This window comes from Homo sapiens, chromosome 10, assembly GCF_000001405.40.
Source record: "Homo sapiens chromosome 10, GRCh38.p14 Primary Assembly".
Classification (NCBI taxonomy): Eukaryota; Metazoa; Chordata; class Mammalia; order Primates; family Hominidae; genus Homo; species Homo sapiens.
In genome coordinates this window covers 80,242,326-80,260,034 of record NC_000010.11, presented here as the reverse complement: position 1 = coordinate 80,260,034, position 17,709 = coordinate 80,242,326, and the positions used below count along the sequence as shown (strand labels likewise).

At 47.6% G+C, this 17,709-nt stretch overlaps 1 long non-coding RNA gene and 1 pseudogene across 1 annotated transcript, besides 4 other annotated features; one reads left to right on the top strand and one right to left on the bottom strand.

Annotated features, from left to right (window-relative positions):
• Positions 228-522: a silencer, noted in NCBI's record as "tiled region #3184; K562 Repressive non-DNase unmatched - State 20:ReprD". NCBI's record gives its function as "represses a minimal TATA promoter and a strong SV40 promoter by Sharpr-MPRA in K562 cells {active_cell/tissue: K562}" and the evidence as "EXISTENCE:reporter gene assay evidence [ECO:0000049][PMID:27701403]".
• Positions 2,682-3,182: an enhancer, noted in NCBI's record as "H3K4me1 hESC enhancer chr10:82016609-82017109 (GRCh37/hg19 assembly coordinates)". NCBI's record gives its function as "activates a minimal SCP1, AML or CMV promoter by ChIP-STARR-seq in primed H9 embryonic stem cells {active_cell/tissue: H9 hESC(primed)}" and the evidence as "EXISTENCE:reporter gene assay evidence [ECO:0000049][PMID:30033119]".
• Positions 3,183-3,683: an enhancer, noted in NCBI's record as "H3K4me1 hESC enhancer chr10:82016108-82016608 (GRCh37/hg19 assembly coordinates)". NCBI's record gives its function as "activates a minimal SCP1, AML or CMV promoter by ChIP-STARR-seq in primed H9 embryonic stem cells {active_cell/tissue: H9 hESC(primed)}" and the evidence as "EXISTENCE:reporter gene assay evidence [ECO:0000049][PMID:30033119]".
• Positions 4,627-12,277, bottom strand: LOC100130698 (uncharacterized). The gene is made up of 6 exons (NR_136612.1): positions 12,198-12,277; positions 11,263-11,364; positions 10,512-10,572; positions 10,364-10,401; positions 10,234-10,295; positions 4,627-7,751 (listed from the first exon to the last, which is right to left on the bottom strand). It is a non-coding gene; the product is annotated as an uncharacterized LOC100130698 (long non-coding RNA).
• Positions 6,149-6,268: an enhancer, noted in NCBI's record as "active region_3653". NCBI's record gives its function as "activates an Ori minimal core promoter by ATAC-STARR-seq in GM12878 lymphoblastoid cells {active_cell/tissue: GM12878}" and the evidence as "EXISTENCE:reporter gene assay evidence [ECO:0000049][PMID:35858748]".
• On the top strand, positions 12,238-13,214 carry EIF5AP4 (eukaryotic translation initiation factor 5A pseudogene 4; annotated as a pseudogene).
• Positions 13,215-17,709: the final 4,495 nt, after the last annotated feature.

Here is a 17,709-nt window from a genome sequence, read left to right as displayed (position 1 = left end):
TATGCGTTCTTTGTATTTCCCCTGCCCCTTGGCTTGGATGCTAATGGCTGGTTACCTTGATGAAGGAAGGAAAAGGGTGGCTGGCTCTTCCTCCGGTGGTAGAGAGAGGGATGGCTGCCATCAGGCTCCACTGACCCAGAAACAGTTTTTTGGGGGGCCAAAATGCTCCTCTTTTTGGGAGAGGGTTGTGGGATTGGATGCCAACCTTTGCATGGCACCTTGAAGAGCCTTTCTGCTTGAGGACACTAGCCCATGTCCCGCCTGTGGCAGAGACTCCCACCTCCCAGGGCGCTGTAATGCTCTGTTTAAGACTGACCTGTCTACCTTGACTACAGTGGACCTGTAGGTGGGTGCAGGCCTCATGACAGATGCAGCAAAGCCACATCAAAGTGTAGATCAGCTCTCTGCTGGCCTCTTGCTTCCCTCCAGCTCAGTAGTGGGTTTCTGCGTTAGTGCACTGCTCCCTTCTCTGGTTCATTTTTTTTTTTTTTTTTGAGATGGAGTCTTGCTCTGTCACCCAAGCTGGAATGCAGTGACGCAATCTCGGCTCACTGCAACCTCCGCCTCCTGGATTCAAGTGATTCTCCTGCCTCAGCCTCCTGAGTAGCTGAGATTACAGGCACACACTACCATGCCCAGCTAATTTTTGTATTTTTAGTACAGACAGGATTTTGCCATGTTGGCCAGGCTGGTCTTGAGCCCCTGACCTCAGGTGATCCACCTGCTTCAGCCTCCCAGAATGCTAGGATTATAGGTGTGAGCCACCGCGCCTGGCCCCCAGGTTCATATTTATCCCTAACATGTGTCCTCGAGTAGCTGTGTGCTACTGGGCCCTATAGGGAAGAGCCAGCTGGCCCTGTCCTATCTTCCACAGGTCATATGAGCTGAGGCTCTTAATCCTCCTCCTTCTACACTCCTGTTGTTCCTAGGACCAGGATGGATGCCGATAGGGATTTCATACAGATTCCTTGTTTGTCCTGTGGATGTTTGCAGGGCCATGGGCAGACAGAGCCAGGGCAGTGGGCACAGCCCCAAGAAGAGTGATGCTGGGTTACCTGGATGAGGCTTTGTGGTGGGAGCAGACATGGCTAGTGGCCAGTGTCTCCGCTGTGGTCACTTGCCATAGTTGCACTCCAGCAGGCCCAAAGGTCCTTTGTGAAGGTCCCTCCAGGCCTGGCTTCTGTCTCATGGCCTTGCGTAGTGTGTGGTCCACAGCACAGTCCATGACCCTTGGGAATATCCATCCCAAGGGTATATGTATAACACAAAAGATGGCAGCAATAAGCCCAAATATTTCTGTTATCCTTATCAATGTGAACTAATTAAACTCATAAATTAGAAGTAGAAACGGGGTTTCACCATGTTGGCCAGGCTGGTCTCAAACTCCTGACCTCAGGTAATCCACCTGCCTCGGCCTCTCCAAGTGCTGGAATTAAAGGTGTGAGTCACTGTGCCCAGCCAATTTTATTCTTTTAGTTTTCAGATGTTTGGCCAGGTGTCTGAGCACCCTGCATTGAGATGCTTCCTTTGTCCCATTCTCTATTTCTGTATGGATTTCTGTCTACATCTGGACTTGCTCTTCTATTATATTTATCTGTCTGTCCATACATACACATTTACTACACTGTTTTAATAAATGAAGCTTCATAACTGAATTGCCTTTAATAAATGGTACCAGCTCCAATACCAATTATAGCAGAAAACATGGTCCCCTGTATTAGGTATTTGAGAGCAAGATGGATGATCTGGGTGCTCGAGCTGAGAGAATTTCTTTCCCTATGCCAGGCCTCCTTTTTACTCTTAGAGGCAGGTACCCCATTTTATAGATACAGAAAGTGAGGTGAGGTCAAGGAAGGTCAGTTCCCAACTGTGCCAGCTCTGAATTTTGCAGGGTTTAGGAGCACCCAACCTCATATGCCTATTTGTGGATGAGAAAACTGGTTCTGGGTGGAGATAGAGACATGTGGAAAAGACAGATCTGATGATGCATTATCACTCAACCACTCACTCATTCACCACTTCACCCCAGCACAGACTGACCGTGTGCTAAGGCCAAGCCCTGCACTGGGGCAGAGAAGGGGCTGCTCCGTCCCCTGGGATCTCACGGTGGGCTGGAGGGAAAGGCGAGGAAGCACTGAGGGACAGGAGGGAGGAACTGTGGTGGGAATAGAGGGAGGAACGGGGCTGTGGGCCCCCACAGTGGGGCCTCATGGTCTTAGCCTGGGCCCCCCTTCCAATGCTGAAAGTAGGGCAGGTGCCCAGGACTTTGCAGCAGGAGGACTATTTCGAAAAGTGAATCCAGGGAGCAGAGTGAGGGTCTGGGAAAGTAAAGGAGGAGAAAAAAGCTAAGGGTATACTGTAGAGATGACCACATTGAAGGCAACTGAGGCTTAACCCAGTGTGATCTCTAGGACAGCATCTAGAAAGTGCATCATGGCCAGGCGCGGTGGCTCACGCCTGTAATTCCAGCACCTTGGGAGGCTGAGGCAGGCAGATCACCCGAGGTCAGGAGTCTGAGACCAGCCTGACCAATACGGTGAAACCCCGTCTCTACTAAAAATAGAAAAATTAGCTGGGCATGGTAGCGGGTGCCTGTAATCCCAGCTACTCGGGAGGCTGAGGTGGGAGAATTGCTTGAACCCAGGAGGCGGAGGGGGCAGTGAGCCGAGATCACACCACTGCACTCCACCCTGGGTGACAGAGCGAGATACTGTCTTAAGAAAAAAAAAGAAAGAAAGAAAAAGAAAGAAGGAAAGAAAGTGCATCAGACTGTGCATGTCTCTCTCTCAGTGAAAAAGGGAGAAGCATTTAACTCCATGTTCCTGTCTCCATTGGTTGAGGGCTGTCCTGTGGGAACAGGGCAGGAATCCACCCGGGGTATGTGGATCTGGTGACAGCCAGCATGTGTGGACTGTTTGCCAGAGCTGTGGCTGGAATCTGGAGCCAGGTGAGAACAGATGAGGCTGGACAAAGGGTCTCAGCCTGGTTCCCAGGTATGGGACTTGACAGCCACCTAGCTGGCCAGGATGGGAAATGCAGCAGGGACCAGGCAGCGAGGGAGGCTGCTGGGATCCCCACCCCACAGAGGAGGCAAACCTGAGACAGGGCAGCCCTTTCCCCTGGAAGTCCTTGCTTCAGGGACAGACCCAGAGGCTCCACACAGCAACCCAGCCACAAGGGAGGCCTGCGTGTCCCCATGTGATGGGCTTTCATGGCGCTGGGCCTTAAGGAGGTCACAGCCTTGGAGTGCAAGAACTCCCATGGCTCCTGAGTCCCAGGACTACCTGCCTTTGCTGTCCCCTCACCCAGGCCATCTGCCCCCCTCCACCTCCTGCAGGCTCACCCTTTTGTTCCCTGCTTTCTCTTTCTCTGCTTCTCTCTGCCTCCCTCTTTGTCCTTCCTTTCTCTCTGTGACCCTGTCCTCAACAACTCTTTCCCTACCTCTATTGTGCTGTTTCTCTGTGATTCTCTCCAGCCTCCTCTCCCTGTCTCAGTCCTCTCCATCTCTCTTGTTTCCTGTCTTCATTCCTCTCTTCTCTGTCTTTTTTTCTCTGCCTTTCCCTCCGTGTGTGGATCACTGGCCAGCTCTCTGGACATCTCCCTCCCTCCAACTCCCTTGGTTCTCACTGTGGGTCCTTCTGTCTTTGTCTCTTCCAGCTTTCCTTTTCTCCCCCTGGGCCCAAATCAACTTCTCTCCATGACTCCATCCTCCCATCTCCATCTCTCTCTCTCTCTCTCCTCACCTTCCACCTTCTCTCTCTCTCCCTTCTCTCTTTCTCTCACTGTTTCAACCCCTCTCTCTCTATCCTCCTTGTCTTTCTCCTTCTCTCTGTCCTTCCCCTCCCTCTCTCATCCCTTCTCTCTCTTCTCTCTGCCTGTCTCATCCTCTGACTGAACTCACCCCTGCGTTCTCTACTCCTCTCCAGTCCTGCTCAGTGAGCCTCTCACCACCGACCTCTGCCTATCACACAATTTAAAAATTACAGGAAGATGGTGGGGGGCACAGGACTTATGGAGAAATGTCTACACCCAGCTCAACTTCCCTTAGAGCTGCCTGGAGTTGGTTCTACCGAGGGCAGCTGGCTCAGTGGGGAATGGGCTCTGACAAACCCTGAGTCTCTGCGAGGCCCCTCACAGGCTCCACAGCCACTGCTGGGCCCCCTTCTATTCCCTGTCAGAAGTTGGCCACCTCATGGGGATGTATTACTGTCTATCTGCTCACAAGGCACCACTGGCAGTCACTAGGAGCACAGTGACTCTTTCTAGAATGAATGAGCACAACCTCCACCCGTGGCTGGATACAGGATATTCCCCCACCCCAGAAGCCCCCCTCGGACCCTTCCCAGTCAACACTACCCAAAGGGTAACCCTGCTTCTGTGTCCAGCAAGGCAGTATCTGCCTGAGTTTGAATAGTGTATGAGGAGTCACACCTGGTATACCCTGGGGTGTGAACTGGTCCTCCAGGAAGCGGACACCCAGAAAGATAGGACTGCAAATGTTTCTAAAGGGAAACACTGGAAATGAGAGAGAGAGGAGGAAGCATGGGACATGGAGCATCAAATATGGTAGAGACTTTTCCAAGATATCATGGCCCAGGAGACTCTTCAAATTTCAAAATTATCCTGTAAGGTAAAAAGATTTCGGTTTATTTCCAGGTGACCTTCTTTTGCCCAATATACATTTTGTCTTCTATGAAATATCTGTGCCCCTGCTGAATACTTCTGTGTGTGGCCATATCTGTGTCTGTATGTCATGGAGAATAATTATCCACAGATCACAGATACAAATCTCAGAGTTTAACTGTGTATGCATTTTTAGGATCTCTTCATCTCGTAAGGATCTGAATTCTAATCTTGGAGACAGGGGCTTTCCCTTATCTTTTGAAAGAGAAACTGGAAATCCCAGAGCCTGAGCTGCTACACCCTAAGGTTTATTAAATGAACTTCAATGAACACCTTTTGCTGATCTTCTGAGTGGAAATATTTTCATTTAACCAGCGGGAGGGGTGAGGCTCTACCATCTACCAGCTATTTTGCAAGATGCCTTCCTTATGAGCTTGGTCTCCCTGTCCTCACCATGACCTCATAATCGCATCATTCCCAGCTCATTTCTGAGAAAGCTGGGGCTCTGAGCTCTACTGAGAGTTGGTGTCTGGGCTTAGGCAGCAAAGACACAGGGAAGGGGAAGCATTTTGCCTGCCAAGGTTGGGAGATGCAAAGCTGAGAGTTGTGGGTGGGAAGGAGAGGGTGCAGGAGATCAGAGTAGGTCACAGCAGCTCAGGATTGGCCTTGAGTTTCCAGCCAGAGTTGGCCTCATTCTGAAGGCCAAGGCCGCAGCTCCACTGAACCAGACCCATCCTCATTGTTAGTCTCCTTAGGCCGTGAAAACTCAGGGAGACAGGTTCCCCTGACAGAACCAAGTTAAAATTTTCAGACCTCTAGGCATTCATTCACCCCGATCTAGAGCCTTCATGCACCCAGGGAAAGAATCATCTTCCTACCGATAATGGACTAAAGGCTGTAGGGCAACAAGGAAGTGCTGGGGTGGTAATTTCCTGTGCACAATGTGGTATCTGAGCTCCCATGGCAGCTCTGTGTGGCCCTCACCGCAGCCTCCATGCTCCTGCTCACGCTGCTTGCCTGGCTAGGAGCAGCCTTCCAGCTCTACCTGAGTTCAACAACCCCCCATGTCACACCTCCCTGCTTCAGCTTTCTCTTCCACAGCCTCCTGTTTACTCCCAGGAGATTCTGTCTCCTCCTTCTGCACCCTGTGTCCCTTCACTTGTGTTTCCATTGGGCTGGTCAGAAGCTCTGTGCCCTTCAGTGTGGGTCTCTCTGCTGCAGCACACAGGATGCCCTGCCAGCCAGGGATGGGTCTCATCCCTCACAGAGCTGGCCATATGGCCCAGGTTCCACACAAGCCTGCAAAACTTGTATTTCTAGCTTCTATAAATAACCTCTGGCTGGGCACAGTGGCTCACACTTGTAATCTCAGCACTTTGGGAGGCCAAAGTGGGCAGATGGCATGGCTCCAGGAGCTTGAGGCCAGCCTGAGCAACATGGTGAAACGTGGTCTCTACAAAAAGTTAAAAAATAAAAATAGCCAAGCATGGTGTTGCACACCTGTAGTCCCAGCTACTCTGGAGGCTGAGGTGGAAGGATCACCTGAGCCCTGGAGACGGAGGTTGCAGTGAGCCAGGAGTGCACCCCTGCACCCCAGCCTTGGTGACAGAGCAAGACTCTGCCCCCACCCCTTAAAATGAAAAAAAACTCTTTCCTCATCTACAGAAGATACCTTCTGCCAAGGTCATGATGAGGAAATAATGCAACTGACTTGTACTCTCAGAAACTTGAGCAAAGTGACCACATCCTCAGCCAGTGCAAAGCCCTGCAGTACAATCTGTAACATTTCTATTCATTCAGAAAGGGAAAGATGAATCCATTTTGCAACTCAGTTCATACTGTTCAGATAAATATACCAAGTAGTACATGTGGAGGTCGTGGTCGAGGTCCTACAGGCAACAATGGGTAGGGGAGCTGGTTGAGGTCCTGGAGGAGTTCAGATAGCAGAGGCCAGCCAAGTGGAGGAGGTGGCAGATGTACTAGAGGAGACCCTGGTGGAGGAAGTGGCTGAAGTCCCAGGGACCACAAATGGAGATTATTGAAGTAACCGAGGAGATTCATGTGAAGGTGGTTATTGAGGGGCCAGACGCCACCCAGGTAGAAGGGGTGGCTGAGGATCCAGAGGTTACTAAGTGGAGATGTAGTCGGAGGTCCCAGAGGCCTCACAGAACAAAAAGGTAAATGATGTCCTAGAGGAAGGCAGCTATAAAAGATGGATGAGGTCCTGGAGGGAAGACACATGCTGGACGTGGATGAGGTCTGGGAGGACCAAGAGCTGTAGGAGGTGGATGAGGTCCCGGAAGACAGACACATGTAGCATGTTGATGAGGTCCCAGAAGACTTACAGCTCCAGGAGGTGGATGAGGTCCCAGAGGACCAACAGCTGCAGGAGGTGGATGAGGTCCCAGAAGACCTACAGCTGCAGGGTGTGGATGAAGTCCCAGAGGACCAACAGCTGCAGGAGGTGAATGAGGTCCCGGAAGACCAACAGCTGCAAAAGGTGGATGAGGTCCCGGAGGACCACCAGCTGCAGGAGGTGGATGAGGTTCCGGAGGACCACCAGCTTCGAGAGGTGGATGAGGTCCCGGAGGACCGACAGCTGCAGGAGGTGAATGAGGTCCCGGAGGACTGACAGCTGCAGGAGGTGGATGAGGTCAGATGCATGCCGTGGGTCAATGAGGTCATGGAGGACCAACAGGTGCAGCAGGTGATTGAGGTCCTGGAGGATTGACAGCCGCAGGTGGTGGATGAGGTCCGGAAAGACAGGCAGCTGCAGTAGGTGGATGAGGTCCTGGAGGACTGACAGCTGCAGGAGCTGGATAAGGCCCCAGAGAACAATCGAGTGGAGGAGGTGGTTAAGTTTTCAGGGGACTCTCTAGTGCAGGAGGTGGCTGAGTTCCCAGAGGACAGTCGAGTGGAGGTGGTTGAATTCCCAGAGGACTCTCCAGTGGAGGAGTTTGTTGAGGTCCCAGAAAACCTTCAGATGGAGGGAGTGTTTGAGTTCCCAGACAACACCCAGGTAGAGGAGGCGGCTGGCAGCCCATCAATGGTCCTGAAGGGCCAGCCATGACATCGGGCAAGTAGGGCCATTCTGAGAAAGGATGAGGCTTCCCTGTAGCCACATTGACCTACAAGTCAGGAGGAGAAAATGTTTTGAAATATATGAATATGATGGACACAAAAACACCAAAACCAACACAAGCTGCACCTTATGCCTCAGGTGATAGTCCCTTGCACCTTTCCCTCCTCCAGGTTTCAAAATGGCAGCATCAATGCCATAAAGTGTCCCTTCAACTGAGTCCTTCCAACAGCAGGGGAGTGAAGAAAAGTCGTGGGGACAAACTGCTATCCCCACACGCCACTCTGTCTGCAAATGTACGCAGGCTGGGGCCTGTCCCTGGGAAGACAGAGTCATAACCCAGTAATAAAGAAGCATGTTTCTGACACAGGGGTGTCTATGTCTATCCTAATTCCTCCCTCACCATCATCACCGGAGCATGTTCCTTGCATCAGATAAACAGAGAGAAACAGAAGCATGAAAAGCCCATTGTCCACACATGAGTCACAGCTACTCTTAAGAGAATGGCCTCCAGGCTTTTCATGTGCTGTCTCTGATTCTCAGAAATCTACAAGGTCAGTGTGACCACCCTGCTCCAAATCTAAGAAAATAGAGGCTCCAGAGGAAGGAGAAATTTCACCTAGCATCACACAGCTTGCAAGAAGCAGAGTGGAAGTCGATTCCAGCTCTGCCTGCAAGACCCTCTCGTCCCCCTTCTGCTTCCCTTCTTGACAAACGGTCTTCTCTACTTTGGAAGCGCCATCCATGGGCACAAAGAGCTATGGGGAGATGGGGATTCCTGAAGAGCTACAGGGGAACTGGGAGAGGGTTTTCTGACGGAATAATCTTACCTAGAGATAGCAGTTTGGCACGGTTATCATATTTCTTTAACTTCTAGGTAATACCAAATTTTAAGTGCACTATGACATAAAGAATAATTTTGTCCATGGAAAAATGAGGTGGGAATTCTCAACAACAGAAGTTTTAAAAATATGTTTGATTTCAAGTGTACAAGTCCCATCGTGTGTGATCAGAGGATTCAGCAGCTGTCGAAGACACAGAGGCCACATGAGAACCAGCTTAATTGAGCATCATTTAAGGCCTTCATTGAGAATTGTCCCTGTAGGTAATGAGTGACGTTCACTCTCCACTACCTCACAGCCAGGGCACATTTTCTATTAAAATATGGAACCTCTGACACTTAGAATATTAGATCAAGGGCAACACTGGGTGAGGGTGGGGGCGTTTTTGCTCAACACAGTTAACAACAGAGATGGGACTGTGATGAATTATGGAATTGACTTTGCCAAAGAACATTCAAAATTGCACAAAGCACATATTAATGTTGGATCAATGAGTTTTCACTTCTGGGATTACGGCGGATATTCTGAAGGTTAATCACTTACCTCATAGCAGAAAAGAAAATCACAGCAAAAAAAAAAAAAAAGGAAGCCCCACATATTTTGGAAAGGGGATCCCACACCATCTTGAGTAAAAGGGATCAGTCAGGGTCTACTGGGCCATAAGACCTACCTCAGTGGAGTTCAATGGCATCCTCTCATGTTATTTCTGGAAACAGAACAGTGACAGCCCTGCAGCCCTTGGCCCTTAAGCATTTATGGCTTCTGGAGGTGCCACCAAAGATGACCAGCTGGAAATGGAGAAGCCTGAAAGCTCATGGGGAAGATTTTGCTTTCAAAAAAGTCCAGTTAGAAAAGGCACCACAGAACCCAGAGAGCAGAGGACAGGCCAGGAGAGGGCGCTGTAGGAAAAGACAAAACTGTCCTGAACTAGGCAGAGGGAAAATGACTCCAGCATTTACCTTTGTCTTCTCTGTTTTCTGGCTATGTCTTCTGATTCTTTAAGAAAAGAAGAAATATTGATCCATGAAGACATAGCCAGAAAATTTCTGCTCTCATCAGCACTTATGGCTCCCATTCTAAAATGTTATTAGTGTTACTTTTCTCAAATAATAATAAAAAAAATAAAGCCTTCCCACTGACTCAAGGTTGGAAGGGGAGCTGACCCATTTGCCTTCTAGGCTCATCCCCTCAGTTAAAAGTAACCAAGACATCAGGGTGGAATGATGTCCACAGTCAGTGGAGGGGCCTGTGCTCCGCTATTCACAGGGGACCAGCCAAGAGTCATTCAGCTGTGGCACGTGAGAAAAACGGTCCTGCCACCCAGCGGGATAACTGTTCTCTTTAGTAAGTGCTTGGAACTGTTTCCAGGAAACATAACAATTACCCAACCCAAGCCCTCACCCCAGAAAGGAGAAGCAGGGGTGTGGATTGTGGAGCAGAAGTTAAGTGGGTGCCTTCCCAGAGAGCTCCTACCTCTCCAGAAAGGGTTCTCTAGCCCTAGCTGTCCCTGGGCTGCCTCCTGACTCATGTGTCTCTCCAGCACTCCCTGCTTTTCCATCATTTCCTGTCTTGAAGACAGTGAAAGAGTTGACTTGTAGAAGAATTAAAACACTGTTTTCTTTACTAGACAGTCAAAGCTTCATCTTAAAACAAAAACATCCTTAAAATTTGTCCATCACAATCACCTACCTGTGCTGCTTGCCGGCAGCCTTCCTCTCTGCCATCTCCCTCTGCAAGGCTTGAGCACAGAGCTGTGGGGAGAAAAATACATCCATGTCCCGACTTGGCCGAAAAGCAAGGGAAAAATGAACAAACTTACCCAGTTGTTGAGGCCTTTCTTGCAGCAGAAGGGGCGATCTGAAAAAGCCAACACATGAGAAAATGTATGTTGACAGATTCTAGGGGCAGTGGCATCATCTTGATGAGCGTTTAAGGATCCTGCAACTGCAGGAAGGAAGGCTCCTTACCTCTCATCTGTAGGAGTCCTCTACCAACTGCTGCAGCTCTTGTCTGTCTTGAATCGTTTATCTATGGTTTAGAATCACTTTCATCAGACAAAGCATCATCTTTAGTATGATTTTAAATAATCTGCCATGTTCCTGTTGTCCTCACAATTGTACCCTTACACAATCTATCTATACATAGAAAATGTATTTCACATGGCTATAAAAGTACAGTATGATCAAAACTGTTGCTGTAATGCTTCCTCCTCTTTTACTTAATGCCTGCTGGGTTCTGAGTTGACAATTTCCTTACCCATTTTCAGTATGTCCCTAATTCATGCTTCATTGGGCATCTTTTATCATAAAGCTCTGTTCTCCTGGAATTAATATCCTTGCCATATTTCACAGGGCAGAAACAGCTGAGCTTATAAACAGGCACAGTCCTTTTGAAGGATGGGTTGATCCTACAACAACACACTTTCCTAAGGATGATGACAACTCGCATCACCCCTAGAACGGCTGGTATGAACCGAGTTTCCACACAGTCTGGCTGGCATTGCAGTCAGGAGATGTTTGGCTACTTCACATGTTTTGAACACTAGTAAATCTTAAGGTACGTGTGTTCTCTTGTGTGAATTGTCTCTCTCTCTAGGTATCGCTTCTGACCATTTGTTTCCATTTCTGTGTTAACTGGGTCTAAAGATTGTACAAAGATTTAAAACAAAACACTCCACCAGCGCTTCCCCAAGAGGCTGGTGTCGGTTTCTGAACCCACTTGCAGATGGGTATTTTTTCTAGAGCCAATTTCATGGTTTCTTCCACCTCTGACAGCCGCCTCTCCTTTTCTTCTCGTTCACGTTCTTTCATTCTCAGCTTCCTGAGTCGAGAAGGGAGAGAAATGCATGCACGTGATCCACTGGCCTGTGTGGGATTCCTTGTGGCATCTGAAGGCCGTGATTCAAAGGTCCCCTGACAACCTTCCCATAAATGAACCAACTGATCCTCACAACTGGAGAGAGAATTAACACCTTCCATGGGACAAAGAAAAAGCACATTCTGGCCTGCTGGCAAGTCACCTGTCGTTTCCAGCTCATCTTCATCGCTCTGTATTCCTACTCTTTAGTAAATATGAACTATTAAAAGCTTCTATGAGATGCGCTATGCGTGCTTCTGGGATCAGTCTTTTGCCTGACATAGCGAAAGCTCATTTTAGTTCAGTGTGGAAAACCAGACCTCACCAGCTCATCACAACTAAACCCATAAGGACGGAGCAGCGGATCACTCCTCGTCTGACTCCTCCCACAGGGAGACCTGATTCTCCATCAGAGGCTGATGCCAGAACCCAGACAATCAGCCTCAGAGAGATCCTTCCAGGACATGCTGTCATTAGCCCTGCGGTTCACTACTGCACATGTCCATGATTCAGGACTGGAACTCTTCTCATCGACTTTAAAGATCCTGGTTGAGAGAAAAGGCCAATCTGAGTGCTGGGTGCATCTACTGAATTGGAAATGATCCAATGGCTCTTTAGTTAGGGTGTTATGTCCTGAAAATAGGTGACAACTGCAAACCATCCTCTGGTGTCCAGAGACTTTAACAAGGTTTGTTTCACAGAGACTGAGGGCAGAAAAAAGGAAATGGCCTAAAAAGGTGGGTTTGCTGTGTTGCCTCACACTACTTGATTCATGGTTCTGATTCTAAAAATCTCACTTGATACTTGATTTCATATGAAAGACGTGTAAAATGCCTGGGTAGAGGCGGCGGCGGCGGCGGCGGCGGGCTCGGAGGCAGCGGTTGGGCTCGCGGCGAGCGGACGGGGTCGAGTCAGTGCCGTTTGCGCCAGTTGGAATCGAAGCCTCTTAAAATGGCAGATGATTTGGACTTCGAGACAGGAGATGCAGGGGCCTCAGCCACCTTCCCAATGCAGTGCTCAGCATTACGTAAGAATGGCTTTGTGGTGCTCAAAGGCTGGCCATGTAAGATCGTGGAGATGTCTGCTTCGAAGACTGGCAAGCACGGCCACGCCAAGGTCCATCTGGTTGGTATTGACATCTTTACTGGGAAGAAATATGAAGATATCTGCCCGTCAACTCATAATATGGATGTCCCCAACATCAGAAGGAATGACTTCCAGCTGATTGGCATCCAGGATGGGTACCTATCACTGCTCCAGGACAGCGGGGAGGTACCAGAGGACCTTCGTCTCCCTGAGGGAGACCTTGGCAAGGAGACTGAGCAGAAGTACGACTGTGGAGAAGAGATCCTGATCACGGTGCTGTCTGCCATGACAGAGGAGGCAGCTGTTGCAATCAAGGCCATGGCAAAATAACTGGCTCCCAAGGTGGCAGTGGTGGCAGCAGTGATCCTCCGAACCTGCAGAGGCCCCCTCCCCCAGCCTGGCCTGGCTCTGGCCTGGTCCTAGGCTGGACTCCTCCTACACAATTTATTTGACGTTTTATTTTGGTTTTCCCCACCCCCTCAATCTGTCAGGGAGCCCCTGCCCTTCACCTAGCTCCCTTGGCCAGGAGCGAGCAAAGCCGTGGCCTTGGTGAAGCTGCCCTCCTCTTCTCCCCTCACACTACAGCCCTGGTGGGGGAGAAGGGGGTGGGTGCTGCTTGTGGTTTAGTTTTTTTTTTTTTTTTTTTTTAATTCAATCTGGAATCAGAAAGCAGTGGATTCTGGCAAATGGTCCTTGTGCCCTCCCCACTCATCCTTGGTCTGGTCCCCTGTTGCCCATAGCCCTTTACCCTGAGCACCACCCAACAGACTGGGGACCAGCCCCCTCGCCTGCCTGTGTCTCTCCCCAAACCCCTTTAGATGGGGAGGGAAGAGGAGGAGAGGGGAGGGGACCTGCCCCCTCCTCAGGCATCTGGGAAGGCCCTGCCCCCATGGGCTTTACCCTTCCCTGAGGGCTCTCTCCCCGACACATTTGTTAAAATCAAACCTGAATAAAACTACAAGTTTAATATGAAAAAAAAAGAAAGAAAGAAAGACGTGTAAAATGCCAAGAACTCTAGGAAACAGGGACAAAAACACTTCAAAGAGAAAGTTCATGCACTTGTTTCTGACCACCCAGGGCACCCTTCAGCACACGGTGTCTGGAGTGGCCTGAAGCAAGGAGTGTCTTGTGAGGTGCAGAGGATGCAATGGGAGCAGGGTCCTGTCCCCACCCTAAAGGAGTTCACAGTTTAACGCAAATGAGAAGCCAGTGAGGACATCACTACTCCTGCTGTGAACTTGGGAACTAGAAACACAAAACCTGAGCCTGGAGGGAAGCTAAGGAAGCATTCTGCTCTGGAGTAGACATGAGTGCATGTGAAGCTTCTGATCTCCCATGAGAGCAATGGGGACATGGGGCAGAATCTAAAACCCATGACTGAAAGCACCAAATTGCTAAAATGGCAATAAAGAGACATGAGGCCAAGATGGAGAAGAAGGAACCCAGGACGAAGGTCAGCCTCACATTTGGGGCTCATTTCCCTCAGTTTCATCACTGAATTTCAGAAGGGACTAACTGAGATGTAAAGAAGCAGAGCAGCTTTTGCACCATGTGGAGGACTAGATGGAAAACAAGTAGACTGAGGGTCTGCTAGTGACGGTGACCCCTACTGAAGTCCACTGGCTTTGGTTGGGACCCAGAAGAGTCACACGCCAGGAATAGAGGTGGACAGGAAACACCCTGACTTTTGTAGGGACTGAACCTCACTGATAACCTCAATTGCGGATGGTATGGAGGGTGTCTAGGTGTGCTAGGACCCCTGCCCATTCCCCAGAAATAGACTCCCATCTTTTCTGCAGCAAGATAACATGCTAGTCGGCCTCAATTCATTGCTAAATATTTTTAACGAGTGTCTTACATTTAGCCAAAAAGACTAGTCATGTGGCAGGAAAAATACAATGTCATATGACCAAAAGCTAAAAGACTGTGAAAATGAATCCCGAGGTGACCCAAGCATTGAATTTAACAATGCCAGTACCTGGACCTCCGCTTGCCCCTAAAACATTACAATCAAGAATGTAGGAAGGGAAAGGAAACACGAAGATTAATCAAGCAGGAAGGACAAGCTCAGTTTTGCACCCACTGAATTTGCCACAAATATTGTGGAAAATATTCTCGGGGACATTGCAGTTGTCTACTTTGGTTGGCACATGGTTCATACAACAGTGTTTGTGTCAGTGAACATCTTACTCTTCCTCGGCAGTCTTTCTTTGCCCAGAGATTTCGCAATGACTGTTGACCTTCATCATCACCTTTTGGACTTTGGCTTGCACTTTAGCTTCTGTAGATCTCCATAATGTAAAGAGGTATTTTGGGTCCATTTTAATTCCTGCAAAGGATAAAATCCTTCTATTCGTGTGCATATAAGTGGACCTGAGCCCTTGGTTAGGGTGTAGAGAGGAGACGGGGAGAAACCTGAGGGCCAGAAGCTGTTCTTTCCCTTAAAAGGGCAAACTCATTTCCACACTATGGGGACTCTGACAGATAGCATACCTTCCTGGCTACGGCTATTGGACCTGCAGGCTTTCCCCTGTAAATCCGTGTTCTGTCATTGACATTTTGTGACTGTAAGACAGACTTGAGATAAGACATCTAGAAAACAATAATTGAACAATGATGTGAATATATTTCACACAACTGAACTGTACATTTCAACAAGGTTAAGATGGTAATTATCACGTTATACATATTTTACCGCAGGTTAAAATGTTTCACAGGTTGAAAGGAAAGCAACTACCTTCAGTTCTCTGAGTTCAAGAATTTGTAACATTTCACCCCCTGCTCCTTCCTGATCTTCTGTGGAGCATCTTTTTTCCATCCATGCTCTACTCAGAGCCCACTTTCCCTTCCCTGACACCAGCTTCACTGAGGCTGGTTGGAACCTAACACAAAACATTCTCAGTAATGACTGAATTCCCACAAAGAATTCCATATAGACCGCATATGAGTTGAATCTTCTAAGACATGAAATATTTGTTCTCTTCTTGGCTAATATGCAATGCAAATCCTGTTGCAAATGTACGTCATATACCTCTGAAATTCCTGATGTATTCAATGAAATAACATCTTTAAAGTTCTGTGTAGAATGCTTTTTTTTCTGATTTCTTCACATAGGATAGAAAAAAAAACCCAAAAAAACATGTACTAGGATTTCGATAGAAGCAATGGGTGATCTAAAAAGATGAAAGAGCAACCGCATGCGCCCCACAGCTACCGCTAGATTTTATGGGGAAAGCAGCTGGCCCAGTTTGCAGCTAGGAGAAATGTCAAACACATGAAGAAATGAGAAGCAAAGAAAAACCGTGAGGCATGAACATTTCATGGCACTCACGATGTCCTGGTTTGTGAGATAATGGGATAGAGGAGTAGATAACAAGGAGAAAGATGAGAAGGTGCAAAGTGGTTCAAGTCAAACAGCTCAACTGAACTTTTCTTAATGGAATATTTAAAAAGTGGTACATTAAAAAACTTCCCCCAGTTCACATCAAAAATTCTCTCTTCAGGACTAAGTTGAGTAGAGACTGTTCAATGTGCCTAGATATCTTCAGAACTCATATATTTTCTGTTTTCTACGTATGTTGAAGGGCAGTGCCAAATGATGTGTAATTATCTAGGTTGTAAAAATAAAACATACTCCCCCTTCCCTTGAGGATAAAAAAGCATTGTGGTGTTAGCACTTTTTTCTTGGATCATTGTTCAGAAGATGTTTAAGCCCCTAGACACCCAAACTTTTACTGTCATGAACAGCAAGAGAAAACGTAGAGCTCGATTTACTCAATGGACAAAAATGCTCAAAAGCCAAATTATGGCACAATTTAGCAGCCACATTCTTAACCAGTACAGACTTTTGACATACCGATCCCTCTCCAGTGGCAACCGAGAACATGTACTTTGAATGATGCCATTTGAAATGACCACTCATTACTCTGCCCAGACACACTTTTCATTGATTCTTCGGAGGGCAGTTCCAAGAGATTCTCTGGGGCTTTCTCTGCATCATGAGACACAGTGCAGTTCTGCCCTTGACCTTCCTGCAGTTTGTCGCCTCTTCCTCATGATCTCAGAGGAACTTTGTCTCAGGCCAGCTGTTTGTTCCTTGGGCTCTTTCATTTCCCCTAATAATCATTTGCTGCCCTGCCTTCATCTCCATCTCCCTTTTCCCTGAGAAGAGGGTGCTCATTAAGCATCAATCATCTGGCCCTTCTTGCAGTCTCATTTTTTGGCTGGCTCCCATGTTTATGCCTGTTAATAAGGTTCTATGTTTTCCTTCTCCTGTTAAGCTGTCTGTTGTTAGTACATTGCTGCAGTGAACCTTTAGAGAGGAGAGTGGAAGCTTTCCTTCCACCCATACAATAGAACTATAAAGCAGAAAAGTTTAGAAAGAATTTCTTATTTAAGTGCTGAAACTTTATACTTCAGTTTTTGATAAAGAGCAGAGGGCTTAAAAAAACGTATTTTTGACCAAAAGCTCTGTTGACATTCTATTAAACAAACACAAACCTATTTAATTTTTTAATTAAATAGGTTGAATTAAAAATTTAAAAAAATTTAAAAAATCTGCCATAATTTAAATGGCAGATTTTTCATAATTCTTATGCTAATAAATCATTTCCTGATTTTTTAAATAAAACCCAATATTCATAATGAAGTCCAGAACCACAAATTGTTTTAAATAATTTCTTATTTGTGATTACAAGTCCACCTCTAGGGAAAGTTAGTGTACTCACACCAAGGCTAGTTTTGCAGAAGAAAATGGCAAGTTTGTAAATTCCCAGGGACACAACAATAATGATAAGCATCCAAGGAATTCCAAAAAAGTCAGGCCCGGGATGAAAATGCCCAGGCAGAAAATTGACGATATGGAATACTACTAGTTGACATAATGAGAAGGCTCAATGACATTTACAATATTTCAGTTACAAAGGATCATCCTTAGAAACCCTTAACCTCCTCCAAGAAGTAACCACACCCCTCAGATATCCCCGGGCAATTCCACTGCTTCAGGAAAGATTGGAAATTTCCAGTCTCATGTTTCTTGCATGGATGGTAGTGTATTTAGGCGTGCAAATGTGGGCTGTCTTTTTTCTTGGTCTGAAGCAGGCATGTCCAGTCTTTTGGCTTCCCTGGGCTATATTAGAAGGAGAATTGTCTTGTGCCACACATAAAGTACACTAACAATAACTGATGAGGAAAAAAAATCACAAAAAAATCTCAGAATGTTTG